Source organism: Homo sapiens, chromosome 10 (assembly GCF_000001405.40).
Source record: "Homo sapiens chromosome 10, GRCh38.p14 Primary Assembly".
Taxonomy (NCBI): Eukaryota; Metazoa; Chordata; class Mammalia; order Primates; family Hominidae; genus Homo; species Homo sapiens.
In genome coordinates this window covers 60,062,604-60,077,016 of record NC_000010.11, presented here as the reverse complement: position 1 = coordinate 60,077,016, position 14,413 = coordinate 60,062,604, and the positions used below count along the sequence as shown (strand labels likewise).

The 14,413-nt window shown below is 39.6% G+C and overlaps 1 protein-coding gene across 5 annotated transcripts in view, besides 2 other annotated features; it reads left to right on the top strand.

The window, feature by feature from the left end:
- ANK3 (ankyrin 3) overlaps window positions 1-14,413 on the top strand; it is a 707,231-nt gene that overhangs the window by 656,512 nt on the left and 36,306 nt on the right. For 4 of the 5 annotated variants that reach the window (NM_001204403.2, NM_001204404.2, NM_001320874.2 and 1 more), the window contains 3 exons: window positions 9,008-9,082; window positions 12,729-12,860; window positions 13,763-13,906. In NM_001204403.2, coding sequence (NP_001191332.1) covers window positions 9,008-9,082; window positions 12,729-12,860; window positions 13,763-13,906 — 351 coding nt within the window. Of the gene's footprint in view, window positions 1-568; window positions 8,381-9,007; window positions 9,083-12,728; window positions 12,861-13,762; window positions 13,907-14,413 lie in introns of all 5 variants that reach the window. The other variant, NM_020987.5, reaches the window with a different exon arrangement.
- Window positions 2,358-2,407: an enhancer, noted in NCBI's record as "active region_3394". NCBI's record gives its function as "activates an Ori minimal core promoter by ATAC-STARR-seq in GM12878 lymphoblastoid cells {active_cell/tissue: GM12878}" and the evidence as "EXISTENCE:reporter gene assay evidence [ECO:0000049][PMID:35858748]".
- Window positions 2,898-3,037: an enhancer, noted in NCBI's record as "active region_3393". NCBI's record gives its function as "activates an Ori minimal core promoter by ATAC-STARR-seq in GM12878 lymphoblastoid cells {active_cell/tissue: GM12878}" and the evidence as "EXISTENCE:reporter gene assay evidence [ECO:0000049][PMID:35858748]".

Below are 14,413 nucleotides of genomic sequence, written 5' to 3'. Positions count from 1 at the left end.
GGAAAAAAGTTTTAGATATTTAATGTATAGCTACATATATTGAAATGGTTCTAAGTAGGTGCAATCTGTATCATGGAAAGGCTAAAGGAGAGAGAGGACATTAGAAATTACTAAAATGAAAGTTGTATGGTTGCACGAAACAAACATGTACCTATACAGGCAAAATAGAATGGCTACTGATATTTCAAAACCAACACATAAGAAAGTCAATAGGAAGTAGGGAACAGTTTTCCATTATGGTTATTTTTCTCATCATTAATTCTTTCCTCATGTTTTCTATTTTTCATTGTTTGCCTCTTTGGTTGCAATGTGCTTTTTCTTTCATTTCACATTACTCTGTTTTTTATTTAGTTGTTTTTTTTTAACTTCAGATTAGTTATGTCTGTAGAAATTTGTTTTTCCTCTTAATTGTTCCTTTTGCCTCTTCCATTCTAAATCATGCAAACAATTGTACTTGCTTTTGTAATATTTCAAAGTTTACTGACCAATTTTTTTCTCTGGTCTCTCTGTTTCTCAACCATTTTTGTTGATTTTTGTGTTTGATTTCATTTTAAAATTTAAGAAACAGTTGAACGGAGTACAGGAGCAACAAGATCCCTCCCCACCACTTACTCATACAAGCCATTCTTTTCTACAAGACCATACCAGTCCTGGACAACAGCTCCGATTACAGTGCCTGGGCCAGCCAAGTCAGGCTTCACTTCCTTATCAAGTTCTTCCTCTAATACGCCATCAGCTTCTCCGTTAAAATCAATATGGTCTGTTTCGACACCTTCTCCAATCAAATCCACATTAGGCGCGTCAACTACATCTTCAGTTAAATCCATTAGTGACGTGGCATCTCCAATTAGATCCTTTCGGACAATGTCTTCGCCGATAAAAACTGTGGTGTCACAATCTCCATACAATATCCAAGTTTCCTCTGGTACCCTGGCTAGAGCTCCAGCAGTCACGGAAGCTACGCCCTTAAAAGGGCTGGCATCCAATTCTACGTTTTCCTCTCGAACCTCTCCAGTGACTACAGCAGGGTCTCTTTTGGAGAGGTCATCAATTACTATGACACCCCCTGCCTCCCCCAAATCAAACATTAATATGTATTCCTCAAGTTTGCCATTTAAGTCAATTATTACATCAGCAGCACCGCTAATATCTTCACCTTTAAAGTCAGTGGTGTCTCCAGTTAAATCAGCAGTTGATGTCATTTCATCAGCCAAAATTACAATGGCATCTTCTCTCTCATCACCTGTGAAGCAGATGCCTGGACATGCAGAGGTAGCATTAGTCAATGGATCTATTTCCCCTCTAAAATATCCATCATCCTCAACTTTAATTAATGGATGCAAAGCCACTGCCACGTTACAGGAAAAAATTTCTTCTGCTACAAACTCTGTGAGCTCTGTGGTCAGTGCAGCCACTGACACAGTTGAGAAAGTGTTTTCTACCACGACTGCAATGCCATTTTCCCCACTCAGGTCATATGTTTCTGCAGCACCATCAGCTTTTCAGTCTCTAAGAACTCCTTCCGCAAGTGCACTCTATACATCCCTTGGGTCGTCAATATCTGCAACTACCTCATCTGTAACTTCATCAATTATAACAGTGCCAGTATACTCTGTAGTCAATGTTTTGCCAGAACCAGCATTAAAGAAACTTCCAGACTCTAATTCATTTACAAAATCAGCAGCAGCCTTGCTGTCACCCATTAAAACATTGACTACGGAGACACATCCTCAGCCTCACTTCAGTCGAACTTCATCTCCAGTTAAGTCATCTTTGTTCCTTGCACCCTCTGCCCTTAAGTTGTCTACACCATCTTCTTTATCTTCCAGTCAGGAGATACTAAAAGATGTAGCTGAAATGAAAGAGGACCTAATGCGGATGACCGCAATACTACAGACAGATGTGCCTGAGGAGAAGCCATTCCAACCTGAACTCCCAAAGGAAGGGAGAATAGATGATGAAGAACCTTTCAAAATTGTAGAGAAAGTAAAGGAAGACTTAGTGAAAGTTAGTGAAATCCTTAAAAAGGATGTATGTGTAGATAATAAAGGATCACCCAAATCACCAAAGAGTGACAAAGGACACTCTCCTGAAGATGACTGGATAGAATTTAGTTCGGAAGAAATCCGGGAAGCCAGACAACAAGCTGCTGCGAGCCAGTCTCCATCTCTGCCAGAGAGAGTGCAAGTAAAAGCAAAAGCCGCCTCCGAAAAGGATTATAACTTGACCAAAGTTATTGATTACCTAACAAATGATATTGGGAGTAGTTCACTGACAAACTTAAAATACAAGTTTGAGGATGCAAAGAAGGATGGTGAGGAGAGACAGAAAAGAGTTTTAAAACCAGCAATTGCTTTGCAGGAACACAAACTCAAAATGCCTCCAGCCTCCATGAGGACTTCCACCTCTGAGAAAGAATTGTGTAAAATGGCTGATTCCTTTTTTGGAACAGATACTATTTTAGAGTCTCCTGATGACTTTTCTCAACACGACCAAGATAAAAGTCCCTTGTCTGACAGTGGCTTTGAAACAAGAAGTGAAAAGACACCTTCAGCCCCACAAAGCGCTGAAAGCACTGGTCCTAAACCACTTTTTCATGAAGTTCCCATCCCTCCTGTCATTACAGAAACAAGAACTGAAGTGGTTCATGTTATCAGGAGCTATGATCCCTCAGCTGGGGATGTTCCCCAGACCCAACCAGAGGAGCCTGTGTCACCTAAACCTTCACCTACTTTTATGGAATTGGAACCAAAGCCCACCACCTCTAGTATTAAAGAAAAGGTTAAAGCATTTCAAATGAAAGCCAGTAGTGAAGAAGATGACCACAATCGGGTTTTAAGCAAAGGCATGCGTGTTAAAGAAGAGACTCACATAACCACAACCACCAGAATGGTTTATCATTCTCCACCAGGCGGTGAAGGTGCATCTGAAAGAATTGAAGAAACCATGTCAGTCCATGACATCATGAAGGCCTTTCAGTCCGGGCGGGATCCTTCCAAAGAACTGGCAGGTCTGTTTGAACATAAGTCGGCAGTGTCTCCAGATGTTCACAAGTCTGCTGCTGAAACCTCAGCCCAGCATGCAGAGAAGGACAACCAAATGAAACCCAAACTGGAGCGTATAATAGAAGTCCACATCGAAAAAGGTAACCAAGCTGAGCCCACTGAAGTCATTATTAGAGAAACCAAAAAGCATCCAGAAAAAGAAATGTATGTATATCAGAAAGACTTATCCCGGGGAGATATTAACCTAAAAGATTTTCTGCCAGAAAAACACGATGCTTTTCCTTGTTCAGAGGAACAGGGTCAGCAAGAAGAAGAAGAACTTACTGCTGAAGAGTCATTGCCTTCTTATCTGGAGTCTTCCAGAGTAAACACTCCTGTGTCCCAAGAAGAAGATAGCCGCCCTAGTTCTGCTCAACTCATATCTGATGACTCTTATAAAACATTGAAGCTTTTGAGTCAACACTCAATAGAATACCATGACGATGAGTTGTCAGAACTAAGAGGGGAGTCTTACAGGTTTGCTGAGAAAATGCTTCTGTCAGAAAAGCTAGATGTGTCTCATTCTGATACTGAGGAATCGGTTACAGACCATGCAGGACCCCCTAGCTCAGAGTTACAGGGGTCTGATAAGCGGTCCAGAGAAAAAATAGCCACTGCCCCCAAAAAAGAAATTCTCTCCAAAATCTATAAAGATGTTTCTGAAAATGGTGTAGGTAAAGTGTCTAAAGATGAGCATTTTGATAAAGTGACAGTGTTGCACTATTCTGGCAATGTTAGTAGTCCAAAACATGCCATGTGGATGCGCTTTACTGAGGACAGATTAGACAGAGGTAGAGAGAAGTTGATATATGAAGATAGGGTGGACAGGACTGTGAAGGAGGCTGAAGAAAAACTGACTGAAGTGTCACAGTTTTTTCGTGACAAAACTGAAAAGCTAAATGATGAACTGCAGTCCCCAGAGAAAAAGGCACGCCCTAAAAATGGCAAAGAATATTCTTCTCAAAGCCCTACCAGTAGCAGCCCTGAGAAAGTGCTACTGACAGAACTGCTGGCATCCAATGATGAGTGGGTTAAGGCAAGACAGCATGGCCCTGATGGACAAGGCTTCCCCAAGGCCGAGGAGAAGGCACCCAGTCTGCCCAGCAGCCCAGAGAAGATGGTTCTCTCCCAACAGACTGAGGACAGCAAGTCCACAGTGGAAGCCAAAGGAAGTATTTCACAGAGCAAAGCACCAGATGGGCCCCAGTCTGGATTCCAGCTCAAACAATCTAAACTCAGTTCCATTAGATTAAAATTTGAACAAGGCACACACGCAAAAAGTAAGGACATGTCTCAAGAAGACAGAAAGTCAGATGGCCAGTCCAGAATCCCAGTTAAAAAAATACAGGAGAGCAAGCTACCCGTCTACCAAGTTTTTGCTAGAGAAAAACAGCAGAAGGCCATAGACCTCCCAGATGAAAGTGTATCTGTGCAAAAAGATTTTATGGTATTAAAAACCAAAGATGAGCATGCCCAAAGCAACGAAATTGTTGTAAATGATTCTGGCTCTGATAATGTGAAAAAACAGAGAACTGAAATGTCAAGTAAAGCAATGCCTGACTCTTTTTCTGAGCAGCAGGCTAAAGACTTGGCATGTCATATAACCTCAGATTTAGCAACTAGGGGACCATGGGACAAAAAGGTCTTTAGAACATGGGAGAGTTCGGGAGCCACTAACAATAAGTCTCAGAAAGAAAAACTTTCGCATGTACTTGTTCATGATGTAAGAGAGAATCACATTGGTCACCCTGAGAGTAAAAGTGTTGATCAAAAGAATGAATTTATGTCTGTGACTGAGAGAGAACGCAAATTGTTAACAAACGGCTCTCTCTCAGAAATTAAAGAAATGACTGTAAAATCTCCCTCCAAAAAAGTCTTATATAGGGAATATGTTGTGAAAGAAGGGGACCATCCAGGCGGATTGCTTGATCAGCCTTCCAGGAGGAGCGAGAGCTCAGCAGTGTCACACATTCCCGTCAGAGTTGCTGATGAGAGGAGAATGCTGTCTTCTAATATTCCCGATGGTTTTTGTGAACAGTCGGCATTTCCAAAACATGAACTATCACAAAAATTGTCCCAGTCAAGCATGAGTAAAGAGACAGTTGAGACACAGCACTTTAATTCTATAGAAGATGAAAAAGTTACCTATTCAGAAATCAGCAAAGTTTCCAAACACCAGAGTTATGTAGGTTTATGCCCACCTCTCGAGGAAACCGAAACCTCCCCCACCAAATCTCCTGATTCTTTAGAGTTTAGCCCAGGAAAGGAATCTCCCTCTAGTGATGTATTCGACCACAGTCCCATTGATGGATTGGAAAAACTCGCACCACTAGCCCAGACAGAGGGAGGGAAAGAGATAAAAACTTTACCCGTTTATGTCAGTTTTGTACAAGTGGGGAAGCAATATGAAAAGGAGATACAACAAGGAGGTGTAAAAAAAATCATAAGTCAGGAATGTAAGACAGTACAAGAAACCAGGGGGACCTTTTATACAACTAGACAGCAAAAGCAACCTCCTTCTCCCCAAGGTAGTCCAGAAGATGATACTCTAGAGCAAGTATCCTTTCTAGACAGCTCTGGGAAAAGCCCTTTAACCCCAGAAACACCCAGTTCAGAGGAAGTGAGTTATGAATTTACATCTAAGACACCTGACTCGCTCATAGCTTATATACCAGGCAAACCCAGCCCAATTCCCGAGGTTTCTGAGGAGTCAGAGGAGGAGGAACAGGCCAAGTCAACCTCCCTTAAGCAGACTACAGTGGAGGAAACAGCAGTTGAGCGTGAAATGCCTAATGACGTGAGCAAAGACTCTAACCAAAGACCCAAAAATAACAGAGTTGCCTATATTGAATTTCCCCCTCCTCCACCACTGGATGCGGACCAGATTGAGTCAGATAAGAAGCATCATTATCTCCCAGAAAAAGAGGTTGACATGATTGAAGTCAATCTGCAAGATGAGCATGACAAGTACCAGCTGGCTGAACCTGTCATTAGAGTGCAGCCACCTTCACCAGTTCCTCCCGGGGCAGACGTCAGTGATTCAAGCGATGACGAATCTATTTATCAGCCAGTCCCAGTTAAAAAATATACCTTCAAATTAAAGGAAGTGGACGATGAACAAAAAGAAAAACCCAAAGCTTCTGCTGAAAAGGCTTCCAACCAGAAAGAACTGGAAAGTAATGGATCTGGAAAAGATAATGAATTTGGCCTTGGCCTTGATTCACCTCAGAATGAAATTGCCCAGAATGGGAACAACGACCAGTCCATCACAGAGTGTTCCATTGCCACCACAGCAGAGTTTTCTCATGACACGGATGCCACAGAGATCGACTCTCTGGATGGCTATGACCTGCAAGATGAAGATGATGGCTTGACAGAGAGTGATTCTAAACTCCCAATTCAAGCCATGGAAATTAAGAAAGATATCTGGAACACAGAGGGCATTCTGAAGCCAGCTGACCGCTCTTTTAGCCAAAGTAAACTTGAAGTTATCGAGGAGGAGGGAAAGGTGGGACCAGATGAGGACAAGCCACCTTCTAAAAGTTCTTCATCTGAAAAGACTCCTGATAAGACTGATCAGAAGTCAGGGGCCCAGTTCTTCACACTGGAAGGCAGACATCCTGACAGATCAGTGTTTCCTGATACTTACTTCAGTTACAAAGTAGATGAAGAATTTGCCACTCCTTTTAAAACAGTAGCTACCAAAGGTCTAGATTTTGACCCTTGGTCTAATAACCGAGGGGATGATGAAGTTTTTGACAGTAAATCACGGGAAGATGAAACTAAGCCATTTGGGCTGGCGGTAGAAGACCGCTCTCCAGCAACAACCCCTGATACAACGCCAGCCAGAACGCCAACTGATGAAAGTACCCCAACTAGTGAGCCTAACCCCTTCCCATTTCATGAAGGAAAAATGTTTGAGATGACTCGCAGTGGTGCAATTGACATGAGCAAGAGGGATTTTGTTGAAGAGAGGCTCCAATTTTTCCAGATTGGTGAGCATACTTCTGAAGGGAAGTCAGGGGACCAGGGGGAAGGGGATAAAAGTATGGTCACTGCCACACCACAGCCACAGTCAGGGGACACCACTGTAGAAACCAATCTAGAGAGAAATGTAGAGACACCTACAGTGGAACCTAACCCCAGCATCCCGACCAGCGGAGAGTGTCAGGAAGGCACATCCAGTAGTGGCTCCCTGGAGAAATCAGCAGCAGCCACTAACACCTCTAAAGTTGACCCCAAGTTGCGCACGCCTATAAAAATGGGAATTTCTGCATCCACCATGACCATGAAGAAAGAAGGCCCTGGAGAAATAACAGATAAGATAGAAGCGGTGATGACCAGTTGTCAGGGATTAGAAAATGAAACTATAACAATGATTTCAAATACAGCCAATAGCCAGATGGGCGTTAGGCCCCATGAAAAACATGATTTTCAAAAAGATAACTTTAATAACAACAACAATTTGGATTCTTCCACTATACAGACAGATAACATTATGAGTAATATAGTTCTGACAGAACATTCTGCACCCACTTGTACCACAGAGAAAGATAACCCAGTGAAAGTCTCATCAGGAAAAAAGACAGGGGTACTACAAGGACACTGTGTAAGAGATAAGCAGAAAGTTCTTGGAGAACAGCAAAAAACAAAGGAATTGATAGGGATTAGGCAAAAATCCAAACTTCCCATAAAGGCCACTTCACCAAAAGATACCTTCCCACCGAACCATATGTCAAACACTAAAGCAAGTAAAATGAAGCAGGTTAGTCAATCCGAGAAAACCAAAGCCCTTACTACTTCTTCATGTGTAGATGTAAAGTCCAGAATTCCAGTGAAAAACACACACAGGGATAACATAATTGCAGTTAGAAAAGCATGTGCCACACAAAAGCAAGGGCAGCCAGAGAAAGGCAAGGCCAAACAGCTTCCATCCAAGTTGCCAGTAAAGGTAAGATCCACCTGTGTCACTACCACCACCACCACTGCCACCACCACCACCACTACCACCACTACCACCACCACCAGCTGCACAGTTAAAGTTAGGAAAAGTCAGCTCAAGGAAGTATGTAAACATTCCATTGAATATTTTAAGGGAATTAGTGGTGAGACCTTAAAGCTTGTGGACCGCCTCTCTGAAGAAGAAAAAAAGATGCAGTCCGAGTTGTCCGATGAGGAAGAAAGTACCTCAAGAAACACGTCGTTGTCCGAGACTTCCCGGGGTGGCCAGCCTTCGGTTACAACGAAGTCTGCTAGAGATAAGAAAACAGAGGCAGCACCTTTAAAATCAAAGAGTGAAAAGGCCGGCAGTGAGAAAAGGAGCAGTAGAAGGACTGGTGAGAATGAAGGCAGTCAGGTCTCTCGAGCACTCTGCTCACATCCTGGAGAACGAGCATAGTTTGTAAACACTTTCCAACTCGTAGACCCTAGTGCATGAACTGTTGTGATTGCCTGTGGAGTGACTTAACCGTAGTTTCTCATTATGTCATTGTCATCTGTATGTGCTGTCGTATATACTCTTCTTTCTGCCTTTTGATCAAACTACACGGTAGACAGCTAGGGAAGCATGCTGAAGATATTGGTGTCATTCAAGATGAACAACCTTCTTTTTTCTTTTTTAATGTGCTAATGGATATGATTCTGTCAAAGTAAAAGCACAGATGTTGAAATCCCATCATGGTGTTTTCACCAACACGACACTTCTGTAACTGTTTAAACTAGCTAGCTCGTCAGCATGTTCAATCCCATTACATTGAGCATCCATGTAGTCTGACATTTGGCCTGATGCAGGTGAAAAACAAGTGAGCCATGTGCAAAGAAGTGTTCATGTAGGTGACTAGGACACATTTCAGTGTACAGTGTTAGCATTAGTCTCTCTGTAAAATCTGCGTACTGCTAAAAGCAATTTTCCAGTATCGTATCTTTCTTGATGATTATTTTAATTAAGAAATTGTAAATCGTAGGTCCACAGAGTCCATGTGAACGGACAGATATCAGGATGGCAATAGTAGCCGATCACCTGGGACTTAGTTGGACAGGTAAGTGCATACACTCCTGAATGGAACAAATTAGTTTCTTCATTTCTTTGTCTTACTCACAAGCAGTTCAATATATATATTTTAAAAATAGAAACAAGCAGCTAGTAAAAAACATTTTTATCACCAATAATTTTATCTACCCAGAGATAAATACTGATTGTACCTTGTATACTGTGTTTTTCCAAAGCCTTTTCTATGCATATGCACTAAGAAATAGAAATTTAAATTTATTTTACCTTAAATTTAAGCATTTTCTTCACAATGTCACTTCTGTAATATAGGTTAACCTTCTACTGAATAGCAAATTTATCTTGTAGCACAAAAGAAAACACAGCTAAGGCCTATGACTTAATTAATCAAAATTCTTTCACATGGTTTATGTCCTTAGGGCAGTTTTCTAGGCAACAGTTCAATTAACCCACGCCTAGGCTGCACAAATTTTAGTCATTCACTGTGAACTTCTCTTCACATTTTGTACGATATACACATAAAACTCTATGTTTATTTATCTGATACTCTTCTTTAAGTAAACTCACTTTTCTGCCCAAATATTTATTTAAAAGAAAAATCTTATATCACTTCGATAATGGGAAAGGATTATTTGCATTATCTATGTAAACAAGAAAACAATGACAGTAAGTTTAAATTTTGAATTAAAAATTTTTAAATGTGATTTTTAAAATATGATAAACATGTAAATAAATATATTTAATTCACAAAAGTTGAATTCTATAAAATTCATGCCTGTAATCCCAGTACTGTGGGGAGGCCAAGGCAGGTAGATCACTTAATGTCAGGACTAGCCTACCCAACATGGTGAAACCCTGTCTCTACTAAAAATACAAAAATTAGCCAGGTGTGGTGGTGCATGCCTGTCGTCCTGGCTACTTGGGAGGCTGAGACAGGAGAATCGCTTGAACCCGGGAGGCAGAGGCTGCAGTGAGCTGAGATTGCACCACTGCACTCCAGTCTGGGTAATAGCGTGAGACTCCATCTCAATAAAACAAAATAAAATAAAAGATGATGAGATTTCATATCAATTGGACAAATTGGACAATTCTGCATTGTAATTTTGAGCTTAACAGGACCCTTAAAATCCTACCTCACATGAATCTGAGAAATTTTAAGTTTTATAGGTTAAGTGTATTTTTTAATGCATGGCCAAATAATAAATATTCATTATCATCACATCTAAATTCATCCTGCATACCATTAGCAACATACATTCCATACAGTTATCTCTATTTAATGGGAGAATATGAAACTAGATAATAGGAAGCAGTTTCATCTAATTTTTTTTTTCCTTTGAATGCCCTCAGTCCCCGTCCACCCCCACCACCACTACCCCATTTCAAACCCTCCTCTCTTCATCAACCTAGTCTCTGCTCTCAGGTATACTGCTAATGGTTGGGAGCTGAGTGGAGTTCTGAAAAGATAGATAGGTGGTCTGAATAATGTTTTGTAGGCAGTTGAGAGTTAACAGTAATTTATTATGTATACATATTTACTAATATCAACTTTATATTTTAACATTGGACATTGTAATCTGAAAATATACTGGAGCAAATGTTTGTTTTGCATTATTATATGCCTAGAACTGTTAGATTATTTTCCTTAAGCAAATACAGTCAGAGTAAATTTTTGGAGATGTGGCTTAATAGCCAGACGAAAAGCCATAAACCTAAAATTCCTAGTGTCAGTGTCTTTGCTCTTTATTAAGTCTCTAGACAATGGATACAGTTTTGTCATGAAGGCTTATTGGGCAGTAGGAGTATTGTCTCTTAAGACACAGAGATGAAGAACTTAAAATAATTAACTTCTCTAACTAGAATTACTGTATGCTCAATGATAATTATTAAGAATATTAAGCATTTAAGAGAACAAAATTTATATCTGTCCCTCGAAACCACTATTAACATCTTATGTGCTTTTTTTAAAACAAGAACGTTTTATAATGTTATACATACAATGTAATCTGCTTATTTGTAACTGTGTCATTCTACAAAATTAAATATTTTCTGATCTTGGTTTTAATGCATAAAAAAATATCCAATAGATGTACCTTATGATGGTGGTTTTCTAACTGTGGTTCACAATGCTTCAATGAGATGTGAAATCAGTTCATACTTTGTTTTTGTTTTTAAATGGAATATTATATAAAAGAAAATGACTGTGTTTAAGTGTATTAAGGCTAAATTCTGTTCCGGGGAGATCTGATTTTATTTATGTAAACACCATGATATATAATGTATTTCTAACTGTAGGCCATGATCACAACAGTTGTTTGCAAGCCACTGCCTTAAATTAACTCTTATCCTTTTGTTCAACATGCAGATTGTTTTCAATGAACATTCATGTATATAAATCATTGTATATAACTCATATATTGTCAGGGTAAATTTCTAAATGTGAATCACTTGGTCAAAAGATAATGGACTTTTTTGAGCCTCTGAATGCATTTTGCAAAATTGCTGGAAGTATTTTGTAAGGGGGATAGAGTCTTGACCAATTCCTTTTCCATGGGATCATTTTTGCCCATTTCTTACTTTTTGTTATCATTTAAGGTAATACACACTTGATAAATTGTTTTAATATAAAAAAATACAGTGGGAACTAAGTCTCCTTCCCTTCTCTGACTCCTAAGTTTCCCTCTTCCAAGGCAGCCACTAATAGTGAGATCATATGTATCTTTCCAAAGACACTCTGCAATTTACAAGATTGAATATGAGTATATCTGAGTGTATACGAGTAGATGGACAGAAAGCTGTCTCCCTTTTATTTTTTACTCAAGTAGCTTCATATCATATAAGATGATCTGGCCTGGAGTCATCATATAACCTCCTGTGTGGAGTTTATGAAACTTGAAGGCATAGAGGGTGGCATATTATGTGAGTAAAAGATACCTTCATGAAGATTGCTTAGCACAAACCCTATCAGCATCTCTTGTGCCATATACATGAATTGTATACCTCTACGTATCTTGTAATTTGCTCAAATTATAGAGAATTTGGCTGAATTAAAACAATCATCCAACATCCTCTTTGCAAACTCCAAAAATCTTGTTTTATTTTTTGAGATAGGGTCTCGCTCTATTGCCCAGGCTGAAGTGCAGTGGCACAATCTCAGCTCACTGCACCCCCTGCCTCCTGGGCTCAAGTGATCCAACTCAGCCTCCTGAGTAGCTGGGACCACAGGCATGTGCCACCACACCTGGATAATTTTTGTGTTGTTGTTGTTGTTGTTGTTGTTGTTGTTGTTGTTGCTGTGTGTATGGAGACCGGGGTTTTGCCATGTTGCCCAGGCTGGTCTCAAATCCTGGGTGCAAGCAATCCACCTGCCTCAGCCTCCTGAAGTGCTGGGATTATAGGTATGGGCCACTGTGCCCAGCCTAAGTCTAAAAATCTTTATAAGATGGTCTCTAAAAAAAATCTGATTGTAAGTCATTACCTAAGGAGAGTTAAGTCACAGCCTGTGTATGGTCACTACTTTGCTATGAAGCCAAGTATATAAAAATTAATTCCTGAGGCTGTACTTGAGCTTGACTATAAAATTCCCTTTTCTTTTTGTGGCAATTGAGCATTACTTTTATGAAACGTGTGATAAAAGTAGAATATGCAATCTTAGTAACTCTCTTTCTTTTCTACAGAACTGGCAAGGGAACTGAATTTTTCAGTGGATGAAATCAATCAAATACGTGTGGAAAATCCAAATTCTTTAATTTCTCAGAGCTTCATGTTATTAAAAAAATGGGTTACCAGAGACGGAAAAAATGCCACAAGTATGCCGAAATTATATTATTTTAACTTTCAAAACTGCATAAATGTAATATTTTAGATAAGCCAACTGTTAGGTTCATCCAAGTAGTGTTGTAATTTTCTGTAATCTTTAATATAGAAAACTAAGTGATCATGAGGTAATAGCAAGTCTTTTGAAGTTATACTTGTTTAATTTAGTGTTAACAGTCTAAACTTCTATTCTTCAGAAGCTTTTTGGAAAGCAAGTAGCAGGGAATTTTTCGCATCTGGCCTGACATTCTCTCTGTGACCATAAAAACTGAAAACATAATTTTAGTTGTTAAATCATGGGACACAGTCATCAGAAACACTCCGAAGTTACCACTATGGCTGGAGGTGGATGTGCAGAGAGGGAAGACAGGATCATATTAGGGGAGCAAATAGTTTTATTCAGCTTGGTTGGCTCTACTGTTGTTGGGTTTGGTTTTGTTGGCTGGTGGGATTGGGTGGTAGTCCTATATTTTGGCAAGTGCCAACCCACAACAATGTGGAATAAATTATTATGGGTTTGCCTGTGTCAACTTGACCCTAGAAAGTCATTAAAATGCTAAGTACCAAATATGAGGGTGACCTATTTTGACATTCTAAGAGGAAAGGAAACTTTAGTTTTATTAGATCCCCTTATAGCCAACAGGAATCTAGTTATTTTAAGGCCCATCCGCACTGTTCCAGTGGAACACAGCTTTACAAAGTGATGATTAAGACTCTGACACCTTCCCTGTAGCAGCGAGCATTCTGAGTCCTCTGGATAGGGAGATTGCAGAGATGGAGTAAGAAGGAGCTAAAATGTCAGCAGGGCTGCAAAAGCCATGCCTTTGTGTAGATATTGTGCTGACTGAAAGAACATAATTTAATTGGGTTTTCAACCTTTTTTTCTCCTTTTCAGCTGATGCCTTAACTTCGGTCTTGACAAAAATTAATCGAATAGATATAGTGACACTGCTAGAAGGACCAATATTTGATTATGGAAATATTTCAGGCACCAGAAGTTTTGCAGATGAGAACAATGTTTTCCATGACCCTGTTGATGGTAATCGAATTTAGTGTTCATATTTATTTAATCATTTGATAAAATTTGAAAGTGCAGTCAGACAAGGCAGTCACTTAAAAGCAACTAAACTGTGATTTGCTTGACTTAGTTTCTCATTTTCTCTGCCAGAGTCTGCAAATAAACACTCTGATATCAGAGCAAACTTGGTAAATACCTCTGTTTATATACAATATAAATATACAATATAAATCATGACGTATGAACGCCTAAGGTATCTGAAAGAGTTGGTATTTCTAATATTTCATAAAAGTTAAATATCTAGAGAATGCATTGCTTTTGTCACTTTTAATTTTTATATTAACCCTCCTAAACTAGTTACCTCTTTTATTCGTATATAGGTAAAACAAACGATGAGCCATTTTTATCAAATAAGCAAGGTATTGAGTAAAGTGTAAGCATATAGTATACAAATTGTAAGGTAAAATGGCAATTTACTGTGTGGCACCAGGTATTTAAATGTGCACTGAAAAAATTTAATGTATCATT